Consider the following 14,700-nt stretch of genomic DNA (forward strand, 5'->3'; position numbering starts at 1 on the left):
ATGATCCACCCTTCCCCTAAGTTACTTGGCTTGCCAAGAGAAAAAAAAAATCTCAAAACTAGATACTAGAAAAGATTTGATCAAATTACATAGTTAAATTTTGAGTGTGGATATTTCAGTAATTTTGTTTCCAAAAAAAACAGAAAAAAAAGGTATTTGATTTTAAAGTATCAGTGGATGAATGTATCTGTCTCCTACAATTTATAATCATTTTAGTCTTAAAAATAAATTCACCTCCAAAACCAGAACAAGAAATACTCCTCATATGGGTTGATGATGTCAGCATTTATTCAGCTAAGGCAGATGGAGAGTATTAGAGGCGTACTGTCTGAATGGGTGTCAATTCTAAAGTTATATTTGCCAATATAATTTGAGTTCAAAGAAGATTTGTATTTTTGTTTCTCTTTGTTGTTTAAATTTAGAATTGTGGCTCAAGGGATATTTGTAGAGGACTGTAGTGAAACAAGCTCTGTTAAGAATTTTAAAGTTACATTCTACAGGTTCCTACACCTTGCCAATCAAGTTAGAGGTTGGGATAAGAAACAGGTATTTACTTCTTTCATTAGCTCCGGAAGAGTTAAATTTTAAATTAAGCAATAATTGTGAAATGCATAGAGAAGTGTTTAATGTGCATTTGCTCAAAGGAGTTTTACAAACTTCCCTTAGGGGAAGCATATTTTTTGAGATAAGACATTGCATCTTTTTAACATATTTTTAAAAAGTAAGTTATTCTGGCTGGGCGCAGTGGCTCATGCCCGTAATACCAGCACTTTGGGAGGCCGAGGCGGGTGGATCACTTGAGGGCAGGAGTTCGAGACCAGCCTGGCCAACGTGGTGAAACCCCATCTCTACTAAAAATAGAAAAACTAGCCGGACGTGGTGGCAGGTGCCTGTAATCCCAGCTACTTGGGAGGCTGAGGCATGAGAATCGCTTGAACCCAGGAGGTGGAGGTTGCAGTGAGCCAAGATCGCGCCATTGCACTCCTGCCTGAGCGAAAACAGCGAAGCTCTGTCTCAAAAAAAAAAAAAAAAAAAAAAAAGTAAGTTATTCTGAAGTGTTTTGCATTTTTGCATTTACATTTAATTAGGAAAAGAAAAATTATTAAATAGATTTTTAGCAACTGAAAATGTTCATTCCATAGAGGTTATTTGGCTTATGTTTTTAACCCATTATCTTTTCTAGTGCTGGTACTTAGAAAGCAGTCATAAAATCGAATCATCTACATATTAAAATTATGTTCCAGGAATAAAAAAGAGGAAGACAGAATTAGTTGTGGTTCCCATTCATCTTGTTTGCTTTTATTTACCATCAGTTTTTTCCTCCTTCTTGCTCCAGATTGTATAGCTTGCTTGCTTGCTTGCTTGCTTTCTTTCTTTCTTTCTTTCTTTCTTTCTTTCTTTCTTTCTTTCTTTCTTTCTTTCTTTCTTTTTCTTTCTTTCTTACTTTTTCTTTCTTTTCTTTTTCTTTCTTTTGTTTTTGTTCCATCAAAGACACTTTTATAATCTTGTGACAGGTATGGACCCCTCCCTAGAATAATGCACATTATGCCATTCCAACACACACAAATTTAAAAACACCTTTAAGAAGTTCACAAATCCCCAAAGACAATTCATATTACATGAAAATGCAGTATTTCTTAAAACTTTGGAGTTTTCTGATAATATAAAATGATTAATTATAAAATCATTTTACTTATAAGTAAGGAACTAACAGTGGATATTGTAGCACCCACATAGTCATTTATTCATTGGTATTCTAGAACTCCAAGCAACTTGGTATAATGGAAAAAACTGCTTGCCTGAAACCAGGTGACCTAGGTTCTAGACTCAACCCCAATAATAATTAACTGTACAATATTACGCTTGACATTTTTCTGTAACATCTGTTGCTTTTATTGCCGAATGCAGTAAGTGAAACATAATAAGAAAATCAGATGCAAGTTATTTTTTATTGGATTGTGGGGTGTCTATATTTACTACTTTTATTCCAAAATTCCTAATGACATTTCCCAGAATGATTAGTTTTTATAACACTATTGTTTATTATAAAGATAAATCACACTCACTGCTTAAAATTTCATTAAATATAGAAAATTGCAAGGAAGAAAAAGAAAATATTACCTATTATTTCCCCCAAGGTACTTTTAAAATGTAATTCAATCATTAATTCAATCAACAAATATCTATTGAGTACCCAGTATGCATCAGCAAAGAGACAGACAAGAAGTTCATGTATATACATGTTTATATGTCTAGATATGTTTCTATACATACATGTAGTTTTACAAAATTGTGATCACACTGTTCATGCTGTTTTGTAACATGCTTCTCCCTCATTCATGAGATGCATTGTTAAAACATGTTTTTTTTAATAATCATGCATTACTTTGTATTCACATATTTAACAAATATTATTAAGTCCCTACTGTGTGTAATGCAAGTAATGGCAATCTATCCATGAGCAAAAGAGTATGGTTCTTACTATATGAAATTTTTCATCTGTATATAGGCTGTACTGGCCAATTATATCTTGTTGGATATTTAGATAGATTAGTTTTCCACTATTATAAATAATTGTTGGATATTTAGATTTATAATAGTTTTCCACTATTATAAATAATATTTCATCTAGGACCTTTTTTATATATGTTAGTATACATTTTTGTTTATTTCCTTATGGTAGATTCTTAAAGTTTATTTTCTAGGTTCTAAAAAAAATTTTATTACTTACAAGTTGTGAGATGATAATCCAATTACTTTATCTCCTTAAAATGTTGTCTTCTCAATTGTAAAATAGAAATAATAATAGTTGGGTATTTTGAGGATTCTTTAAAATATTTAGCGAAATCTCATGGAATGCTAGTGATTATTTTTGACATTTTGCTCTTGAGGAATATGGTATTCATTTATGAGCAATATAAAAGAGTAGAGTTTTCTATGTCAATACTGGGTGCCATCATCAAACAGAGCAAATGACAACAAATCCAACAACTTGGATAATTGATATACGAAAATAGTATCTTGTTTAAATTTACATTTCTTTGTTGAACAAAGTTGAGCAATTTTCATAGTGGCCACTTATATGTCTATGTTTGTGAATTGTCTCTTTCAATGTGATTTAAAAAATTTTTCTCTTTCAATTTCAAATATGATAGATATTAACGGATATAACTTACATAATCATAGCACTTTTGGGGTCCTCAGTAATTTTGAAGAATATTAAGAGTCTTAACAATATAGATGAAATTTTGAACTGGAAGTAGAAATTCTATAAACAATGTTTTTCTCATTTTTGGAGGGTTATTTTTAGTGTTTCCTGAAACCTTTCCCTTAAAAATGGGTGAGAATACATAGAAAAATGAGAGCAAATTATTTTTTATTCTCATAGACTAATAGTTTACAAATGATGGGAAACCTGGAGGGTTCAGAGATGATGGCCAAAACCCAGCACCAGAGACATCCTGGCCTGAATCATGTAAAGAAGATATTGTTAGGACTAAGGGTGGCGTGATGACTGTTCAAGTTTTGTAAGGCTGGGTGCAGTGGCTTACACCTGTAATCCCAACACTTTGGCAGGCTTGAGCCCAAGAGTTTGAGACCAGCCTGGTCAACATAGTGAGATTAATTAAAATCTTATTAAAAATTTTGAAAAAATCAGCTGGATATGGTGGCATGCACCTGTAATCCAGCAATTTGGGAGGCTGAGGCAGGGGGATCATTTGAACACAGGAGTTTGAGGCTGCAGTGAGCTTTGACCACACACCGCACTCATGCCTGGGTGATAGAGCAAGATTTTGTTTCTTATTAAAAAGAAAAGTTTTGTGAGGAAAATAATATTATTGGTTGTGAACAACCAATTTAGAGAAAATGAATTTCAGTTCTGGCCAACTCTTTGTCTTCTACCCCTTGACTATTAGGGCAATAAATAGTTGGGGGAACCAAAAGGTTGGTTCTGGAGTTCTTTCCAAAGAAGACAGTAAATAGAGCAGAGGTTATTCTGGTCCTCTGATACCATTACCTGCCTGTTAATAAAGGATGCATTACATGTATTTGCTACTTTTGCTATGTGATTCTAAGTTTTTTGATTCTTTTTGTGATTCTTAGTGCAAATCTTACAACACACCTTGAAAATACAGTTTACCTTTCCTTATACAAAAAATGAAATAAGCATAAACAACTCAATGCTCACCATAAGCAGATTTGTAAAGCTACCCTACCAGTCTAATCACTTATTAAATGAATTCAAATGAGCTTAGAGAAACTCAGCAGACACCTGACGCTGAAAGTTATCAGTGTCAGAGTTTAGCCATCACTCTCCATTAAAGATAATAGACCAAATTGGCTCTCATTTTTCTTCCCACTCCTTTTTTGGCACATGCAGTTGTGAATCAACTGCTTCCTTTTCCCCAATCTTCCTCTTCATTTGCTTGACTTCTGGAGTCTTCAGGAAAAAAATCGGTATTTTAGGTAACAGTGTGCTTTGAATTAGTAAACAAATGTCATTAATATGTATTCTTCTACAGTACAGAAAACTCATGTATTTATGATACTCAGCTTATACTTGCTTAGGTTTTTGTTTTGTTATTTAATTTACAAGCTGTTTTCTCACTATCTAGTTTGAAAAAAAAATCAGAGGCCCAGTATTTTTTTATTTTCACAGGCTTTGTGGTTGATAAAGGGATTGGTTATGAACTTTGTTTATTTCCACAAAACTGTGTAAGTTAGCAGTACAGGTATGACTATCCACATTTTACAGATGTGAAAAAGAGCTATTGAAAAGTCAAACGTTTTTTTCTTTTTTTTAATGTCTGCCTTATGATTCCATTTTGATGTATTTAAATGTTTAAATATATTGGTTTATATTTTTAGTTTTAATGTGTATTCTTTGAGGTTGTCACACTCTTTCTATTGGAGTTAACATCAGAAAAATTACTGGAGAAGGCCCAGGAAGTCCACTCTCCTGGTGCGTGTTTCCATAATAACTCAATCGTTCTGCCCTTATAACTTGATTACTGATTGACGTAATAGGGGAGGTTGTGCAATTTTGGAACTACATAGTACTTTGTACAGTAGTATGTATACTACTTTAAGAAAATAAAATATATTACATTTTATCTAAAAATACAAAATAAACACATTTCATGAGTTATGTAAAAAGTGCTGATTTTGCCAAATGTTTTGCTTTCAGGTTGGTCGTAGAGAATTTTCTTAGAATTTTCTAAGTATAACCTACAGAACCTATGGCTCTTTCTGGCTCTTATTAAACCTGGCAGTTGGCATAAAGCATTTGTATCAAAATGGTTACTCTGACCTTGGATTTATCATTTGGACAAAATAATTATTATTTTACCTTTCCAAATAATTCAGTAGCTTATGATAAAGCAGATACTCCTTCTCAGGGGTAAAACCCAACATTAGTTATACGCTTGACTTAGTATACATACTATGATGTGGTAATAAATAATGCATACTAGGTCAGGTTTTACTGCTGGATACAACTGTGCCACTAGAAACATTAGGTCAGCACATGGCTTCTGAATTTCAGTCAGTAAATTGACACACTTCTTATTTGCCCCATACTTTTATGCCCACAGTTTTGACAGGATAAGCAAGTTAAATGCAGTACACAGGCAGTAAACTGGGATGTTCACCCCTTATGGAAAAAAGTATTTTTGCAGAATTCTTGGATCTATAAGAAGAGACAGTGTCTGCCTAGGATAGTCTCGAGGCAGATAAATGGTGTTTTAAGTTTTGAAACAAAAAGGCAATTCATTTTGTGGACTTTTTAAAACATATATTTGATGCAATATTATGAAAGTATTGAAAAAAGTAATTTGGAGCAATTATGTAAGAATTTATTGAAAAGCAATCAGGGAAAAGTGTCTAAAGATGCACACAGTTATGGGATCATTCTGTATAGACTGCTGCGTCTATCATTATGATTTCTTAATATCCATTAGCCACTGTTGTGTCTACCACAAACCTCAAACAGGTTATCAACTTTCTTTTCATTCAACTGCCATGAAGAAGAGGTGGATGAATTTTAAATTTGCTGACGTCATGAACTTAGATCTCAAAGAGAGAACACTAGGAAATTTCTGTAGTTCACTTTCAATGATCAATGGTAATACATGTTCAGATAATAACTTTAAAATACTGTTATATCCCTGGTTCTTAGAAGACAATGCCACTAACCCATTTTAGAAAGATTTGTCACAGCAGCGATTCTAATTTAAAAGAGGCTTCTTGGTAAATTAAAGATTTAATTGCAAATCTGTTGGATGCTTACTTATAATCTATTACTTGGTACTTAATTTTTGAGCTGGTGACAACCAGAGATTTACATTTTATATATATAAAGCTTCACAATATTTACATGCATTTTTTCCCTCTCACCTTTATTACTTTCTGTAATGATGCCTTTGTTGTCAATGAAAAGCAATAAAAGAAAGAATCAAATTTGTGACACTCATTCACTGTTTGCAGAAATTGTTACAATCTGTTTAAAATATGTTTTAGGTTGACAAATTTGATTTGGTTGATCAATATATTATGTATTAATAAGTATTAATAAGCTATTTATATGAATTAATACCCCAGTATTAATATATAGCCTATGCATTAATATAATTAATAATCAATATGAATTAATTCAGGTAAATCATTAGTTATTCAATACACCATATATTACATATAATATACCTTAATAATAATATTGATTGTTATTATATATTAATATGTACATAAGATATTAATCAACCAAGCCAATTGTCAATCTAAGATGTAATTTAAACAGATAACAAGAATCTTCAAGCACTTTTTATCATCACAATGAAAAGGATGCTCTCATATAAATTTTAAGTTTCTGTGAAAAAATAATTTCTATATACCATTTTATTAATACATATAGTATACTTAGAAAAGTAGTAGGAGTAGGAAAATGCAATTTTTTAATACTTAGAAAAAGAACAGGTATTGTATGAAGCTATTTAGATAATATCTACTCTTCTTTTTCACTTACCAATTTTGCCTCCTATGTCAAGAAATGCAGATGTTAATGTCAATCAGGAATTGTTGGTCACTGAGCAGTATGCATTTATTCCTTCGCTAATTCAGTCAGTTTTAATTAATAACAGCTACATGCTAGGTACTGTGCTACATTTAGGGCATACCTGGGTGAATAAAGCAGGTATAGTTCATTCCGTCTTAGTGGAGACAGATAATAAGTATACAAACAAACAGATAATAAATTATAAAAGAAAGCAAATGGGCTTCAATGATAGAGAATAACATGCAAAGGCGGAGAATGGGAAGGGCTCTCTGAGGCATAGAATTGAAGCACAGATGTGACGGATAAAAAGCCATCTACGGGAGGCGGTAAGTAGAGTGAGAATGGCAAGGCTCACGCTAGAGTTCCAGGCAGAGAGTGGCATTCGTTAATGAGCCTGCAAAGAAGCAACTAAGAAACTAGATGGAAAACCAGGTATTAGGGTGATGTTGTGGGAGCAAAGGAGGGAAAGTGGTTCTAGAGGAAAGAGGTTGAATAAGATGACGACGGAAAAGTGATTACTACATTTGGAAATTTGGAGATCATGAATGATCTTGATTAGTGCAGGTTCAATGGAGTGGTGGGAGTAGACAGAAGAAGGAAGAAGGAATTTACAAATGGGATGGGAGGAATGCGTGATGAGGATAGCTGGCTCCTGGATACAGGGTAAGCAAATAACCCTTCAGAGAAGTCTGTCAGTGAAACACAGCAACCAAATGGAGACATAGCAGGGAAAAGGAATATGGAGTCGACAGACAGACTGTAACAAGTTTGCCAATTAGATTATCCAGTTGAAAGTAAAATTTGGGCCAGGCTCAGTGGCTCACTCCTGTAATCACAGCACTTTGGGAGGCCGAGGCAGGCGGATCACGAGGTCAGGAGATCAAGACCATCCTGGCTCACACGGTGAAACCCCATCTGTACTAAAAAAAAAAAAATACAAAAAATTAGCCGGGCGTGGTGGCGGGCGCCTGTAGTCCCAGCTACTTGGAAGGCTGAGGCAGGAGAATGGCGTGAACCCAGGAGGCGGAGCTTGCAGTGAGCCGAGATCGCGCCACTGCACTCCAGCCTGGGCGACAGAGAGAGACTCCGTCTCAAAAAAAAAAAAAAAAGAAAAAGAAAAGAAAAAAAGAAAATAAAGGAAAGTAAAATTTGATGATTCAGGAAAGAGAGACGTGACCATCAAAAATAAAGTCCTTGAGGAGAGGGATTTTGCATCCAGAGAGCCATGGTGGTGCCAGGTCTGTAACAGTAGGAGGAACATTGCCTCCTTTGTGGCAGGGAGAAGGGGAACCCAAGTGCACCTGCAGGGAAATACGCAGATTTGATGGTGGGAAGATGAGAAACTTCCCTCTGGTGCTTTCTGCTTTCTCAGTGAAGGAAGATGAGGTCGCCTGCTAAGAGTGGGAGTTGGGGTGGGGTGAGAAACTTGAGTGAGAGAAGGGAATAAAGTGACTTTTTCCGGTGGGAATACAAGTCCACCAAAGAAATTTAGAAAGATGTCTTGTAGTGTAGAGAACCTCTGTGGGTTTTGAGAATATGGACTTAAATTAAAACTAGCCTTCCAGGGTATGTTGTTTTTCTGCAACATGTTTAAATGCTAAGAGCAAAGAAGCTAGATGGTTTCTCTAGAGTGGGAGTTTTTAAAGACAGAAAGAAAAATTGTTTTTAAAGACAGAAAGAAAAATCCATAAAATGGATAACCAGTGCACTAAGCAAAACAAAATAAAAAACAACCCAAACCAAAACCAAATCTAAACAAAAATTCATAAAAATGAATGAGTCTGTAGAACAGAGTTCCTTTATCTAAGGTAATTAGTGACTACTAGGAAGTAGTCCAAAATTGGCTGATTTCCAGCTCTAGTAGGTGGGAATTTAGCCTTTGTTCTTTCCCAACTCTTGGATTCATTACCTAGCCAGTTGCTAGGCCTCTTTGTACACTTCAGTGAAGCCCAGTTACCTGTTCCAGGAGCCATCATTCTGGAACCTTTTTTTTCTTCATGTTCTAGTTGGTAGACTTGTTGCTGTTGTCCTTTGAAGTTCTGAATGATTAACTGTTTGCCTCCCTGCTTTTATTGGACTCCTAGCTAAGTACTTGTTTCTGAGTTGTAGCATACTCCTTGGTCTTTGTGCTCCCTAAGATAAGGGTTTATAGACTTCGAATCATTAGAATTCCACAATGTAAAGATGTGTAAAACATTTTGTGATAATAATAGACCATCCAAAAAAAGGATCTTTCACAGCCCTGCTCTCAGGATGTATTTCTTCACCCTGACATAAATCTTTCATTTTGCATCTAAAAGTCACTTCCTTTTCTTTTCCAATTCTTACAGTTTTAGAGAACAGCTGGTTACCATAATCAAAATATCTTTTCAACGACCAAAATAATATTATTGAACTATTGACTCATATTTCCTCAAAGTTAAAAAAACATTTTAAAATTTAAAAATCCATTAGCCATCTCTCATAAATCCTCTTCACATAAAAATGATTTAGTTTTACACAAATGAAGGCCAGGCTCCTCCATGGGTGGAAGCAGTGAGTCTGTGCGGGTCAAGTCAGGCAGCATGGTGAGAAGAGAGAGTGTTTTTTGTGGTCAGATGGATTTCAGTTTGTTTCTGGCTGTGCCCTTCATCTACTTCTCTGCCTGACACTAAGTAGCTGCTTCTTTTTCCTCCTTTTTTCCCTACCTCCCGGAGACATGTCCTGAAGTGGAAAGTCATTCTGCACTTTATTCCTGGTCCTGTCCATATTTGTCAGGCTATGGTTTAGCTGCAGTTGTCTAACTTCCTCCTGTCAAATTTCTCATTGGCAAAATGAAGGGGAGAGTATAACATTGTTTTTGTTAATTTCGTATTTTCCAAAGAACCCATTGAGGCATTATATCTCATCCGCAGAACCTCAACTGAAACCTGCTTATTGATTTTACTAATGTATTTTTGGCACAGTTCTCCAGCTTGCTACTCAAAGGTAGAGGCAATATAAATTTCATTTTGAAGCAAATGACAGCACTTTCAGTTCATTTCAACCTGAGTTTATTGTATGTAACCCCTAAATTTTCAGGATGTGCTACATGTTCATTATGGTGCTAGCAAAAGTAGGTAGTATAAAAAGAACTTAAGATTTTCTATCATCATCTTACTCTTTATAGTGATGTAATTTCCTCTCTCCTCAAAAATTTTACATGAAACTTTGGAACTATGTTGGAGTACCCCACAGAAGTAGAAGGGGAAAAATGTGCTGCAACACTCCAACGCACACATAAATATTATTTAAAGGGTCTGCAGACTGTCATGGCTACATGTATTTCAACATAATTGACTTCTTTTTTTTTTTTTTTTTTTTTTTTTTTTGAGATGGAGTCTCATTCTGTTGCCCAGGCTGAAGCACAGTGGTGCAATCTTGGCTCACTGCAACCTCTGCCTCCCAAGTTCAAGCAATTCTGCCTCTCCTGTAATCCCCTGAGTAGGTGGGATTACAGGTGCCCACCACCATGCCTGGGCAGTAATTAGCTTTCTTTATAAACTGATATTTTATTTCATATATTTTAAAATGTTATACTCTATAAAGGGGTCCCTAGCCTTCACTAGATTGCCAAAGGGGTCCATGGCACAAAAAAGATTAAGAACCCCCAAGTCTACTCCCTTCAAGTGCATACACTCCATTTACAGAGTTCTTAATCCTGCAAAAGACTAGGTTTCTTGTTCTTTTCAAAAGTGAATTGCCATCACAGTGTCTAAAATAAGATTTCTAAAACTTCTTATGATCTGAGAAGAAAATGGTAACCCTGAATTCCTATTACATGTTACCCAGTTCAGGAACTGTAGAATGCTGGTCTCGTATTTAGTGGCCGAACTTTACAGTAACACCTGGAAGCAGGTGTACACCCTTCTGTGCTTCCGCAATTCCTGATGATATAGTTTATCATCAATTTATTCCTCTTAAAGATCATAGTAATTCCATATTTTAAACTGTCAGATCAATCTCACCGGCTGCCTGAAATAGTCATTGCTTTCATTGAAAAGCAAAGCAAGCTATAAATGCTGATAATTTTATCCAGTAATAAAATGGCTCTCATTAAACATTTAAGCCAGTTTGATGGTTTTCCTGAGTGTTTTCCCTGAACTGTTTACCTTAGAAAAAAGATATGGCTTTCCATGCTGTGGAAAACTTGACTGACTCTGTCACTTAAAAAAGGCAGCAATGGCAGCAATTAAAGAGGGAGTGGAACCCTCAACAAAACACAAATACTACCTTGGGGAGCATATTTGCAAAATGTCCAGTCTAGAGAGAAAAGATGTAGAAGTAATGCTGTTGTCAAAACACACTTCTTTTCCTAGCATTTTGTGCCACCTTGTTGCATATATTTATAACCTGTTAACAGTAAGTACATCACCATTGTCAGTCTCTTTTAAGTAGAAGTCAGAACATTATTCTTCTATATTTTCTGAAAATGCACATCATATATTTAACACCTATCAATGTGATATTATTTCATAATGGTCTGTGTGGGAAGAGGAATTTTTTAAACAATCTAATATTTGAAAGTAAACAATTTATAACTATGATTCAAACCTAGAAAATTACAAAAGATGAAAGTGATTCTTTTTGAGCTTTATTGGACCAATCCCAAGGAGAAATTCAGTTATTTGTTTTCCTCAAATTCATATCTTGGATCTACTCTGTCCTTCCAAACAGTAACTTGGTAACTTAAGATTTTAGCCAAACTAAAATTATATATATGTTATTTTAATTTTGGCTATATTTCCTTTTTAGCCCCAGTGCATGTGGGGGGCAGGGTGGGGCAGGGAGGATGCCAGTAGGGTATAAAGAAAGAGTACCTGGTTGAAAGTGAAGAGGTATGTTCAGTTTCAGCTGTTCCCCTTACTGGGTAACTTGGTGAGGTTTATTTATATCTTAAAGCCTCAGCTTACAAATTTGTACAATGAAATACTTTCTAGGTGGTGATTATGAATATTTCCTCCTTCTCCAAAATTTCTTGACCTTAAAATATGGCCAGAATGGCCACTTGTTTTTGACCACCAAGAGGTGAAAGAATGGAAAATAACAGCAAACCAGAGTGGTCAAGGAATGAAAACTAGAACACTGGCTTGGGAGTGAGGAGACATTCTTGCTTTGTTTGTAATGCATTATGTGAAACTGGGCTGGCCAGTTTCCTGATCCTTAAGATGGACAGGTTTATCTGGATTAGTACTTCCCAAATGTGAAGTGGTTAGACGTTATCCTTGTGCTTCGTTTATGTAGAATGTGTGTATGTATATGTTGGTGAGGGGTTGCGGGGAGCTTTTTAAATAATCAGATGAGGGTAGCTGCTCCATCTTAAAGGAGCTATGCTCTCTCCTTTATAATCTTCACCATCCTAGTTGAGATGCATATCATATCTTTTTTTTTTTTTTTTTGAGATGGAGTCTCTCTCTGTTGCCCAAGCTGAAGGGCAGTGGCGTGATCTCGGCTCACTGCAACCTCCGCCTCCCGGTTTCAAGCAATTCTCCTGCCTCAGCCTCCTGAATAGCTGAGGTTACAGACACCCACCACCACACCTGGCTAATTTTTTGTATTTTAGTAGAGACAGGGTTTCACAGTGTTGCCCAGGCTGGTCTCAAATTCCTGAGCTCAGACAATTCACCTGCTTTGGCCTCCCAAAGGGCTAGGATTACAGGTGTGAGCCACTGCGCCCGGCTGCATATCATGTCTTATATCACATCTGGACTTCTCTGGCCGATTTTCTCCCTCCCTCCTACAGCACCACTTTTCTCCACTAACAATTGTATGCTGCTTTGTTTAACTGCTGTGTTTATGTCATTAAAACCTGTTACGGGCTGAAATATGCCCCCTCCAAATGCATACATTGGAACCTAAATCCCAGTACCTCAGAATGTAAAAGTATTTGGGGATAAGTCCTCATTAAATTGAAAGGAGGCTGGTAGGGCATGTCCTAATCCAATTTGACTAGTGTCCTTAAAAGAAGAGGGAATTTGAACACACACAGACACCAGGCACTCTGTGCACAGGGGAAAGAGCATGTGAGGACACAGCGAAAAGCAGCTATCTGCAAGCCCAGGAGAGAGGTCTCAGGAGAAACCAAAGCTGCCAAACTTTGATCTTGGACTTCCAACCTCCAGAACTGTAAGAAAATAAATTCCCATTGTTTAAGCCACTCGGTCTGTGATACTTTGTTATGGCAACCCTCGTAAACTAACACAAAGTGCCACTTTCATCATGCCACCTCCCTGCTAAGACTCGAATAACTCTATTGCTTATTGTATAATTTCTCAGAAACTCTGCCTGTGCTTCAGGGTCTTTTGTAGAGTGAAAAAATGACATAGAAAGGGGATTCTAGGGCCAGCTCAGCCCATGTTAACCCAGATGACCTGGGAACTTTTTTATTCTTCTTGAGACAGTTATTCTTTTGTAGAGATTGGTTGTGGGAGTCTACCTTAGTTTGTGTTGTCAGTTAAACAAATTACTTACCTTTCCAAATCTGTTTTTTTTAATCTCAAAAGTAGTGATAATAATCCCTATCTTGTTATAAAGATTAAATGAGATGGTATATATAAATCACTTAAAGTATCTTGTACTTGGGAAATGTTTAACAAGTGTGGATTTTCAAAATTAAGTGTTCATATTAGCAACTGCTAAGATATATTCCAGTTTCACATTCTAGATTCTATAAATGTAATCTACTTCCTTTTGATTGTTTCTTAAGACAAGAGCACATTTATGATCTAGACAGTTTTCTCCAGTACATCATGCAAATCCCCCAGTTTGCTTATTCATCCTTCAGTCAATAGTAATTGAATTATCACTCCGGGCCCAACAGGAATACAGGGAGAAGACAGAACTTCCTTTGTGCTGCTCACAGCTATGGAAGACTGACACGTGTATAATGGTAGTCTAGTATACAATATTGTGATAAGAGATTTCAAGGAAAGGTACAAGGGTCCTAATCTAGTAGATAAATTAAGAGATGACTGACTTTAGAGAGTGAATTTATGCAGAACCCTGAATGACAGGCGGACATGATCCTGCAGAGGTGTGGGTAAGGAAAGCACCAGTTGAGAGCCTGAGGAGGATGGAGTATCTCCAACGTCATGGCCTTTTCCTAGAGGAAATGTTTCCACTTCCTCTTACTATAGATCTAAGCTCTTTCACGTTTTCAAATGTCAGATCAGTTACCATTTTCTCTGAAGCCGTTTCTACTTTAAACCACTGGAATCTCTCTCTTCTCTGAAACTCTAGTAGGTATTTCATATATACTTGTCTATGTAATTATAATGAGATTTGAAGAATACAAATTTGATAGATTAAGAAGCTGTGACTTAGGAATACAAATGGAGAGGGAAATCTTAAAAGGAACAGTATGGATATCAGCCATATGGCACCACCTGTTACTACTGTGGGACTTAGTGGCAAGTTCCATACCATTGGGTTCCAGGCTCAAGAAACAGACATAGTTAATTATTCTGTGCCTTTGTGTCTGGAGGCATGCTGTTACATTTCCTTGGGAACAGGGAGGTGTTCCTGTCGTAAACTGAGAGTATGGTTTGAGAGACATTTTTAATATAAAGCATCTCATTTACCCATCTGAATTCCTATTGTTTCTTTATTCCTTTGTGCCGGTTGGCAATATC

The 14,700-nt window shown here is 36.0% G+C and overlaps 1 protein-coding gene across 4 annotated transcripts in view; it reads left to right on the plus strand.

Annotated features, from left to right (window-relative positions):
* The window catches only part of PLA2G4A (phospholipase A2 group IVA), a 160,033-nt gene that overhangs the window by 644 nt on the left and 144,689 nt on the right, over positions 1-14,700 (plus strand). The window lies entirely within an intron of this gene.

This window comes from Homo sapiens, chromosome 1, assembly GCF_000001405.40.
Source record: "Homo sapiens chromosome 1, GRCh38.p14 Primary Assembly".
Taxonomy (NCBI): domain Eukaryota; kingdom Metazoa; phylum Chordata; class Mammalia; order Primates; family Hominidae; genus Homo; species Homo sapiens.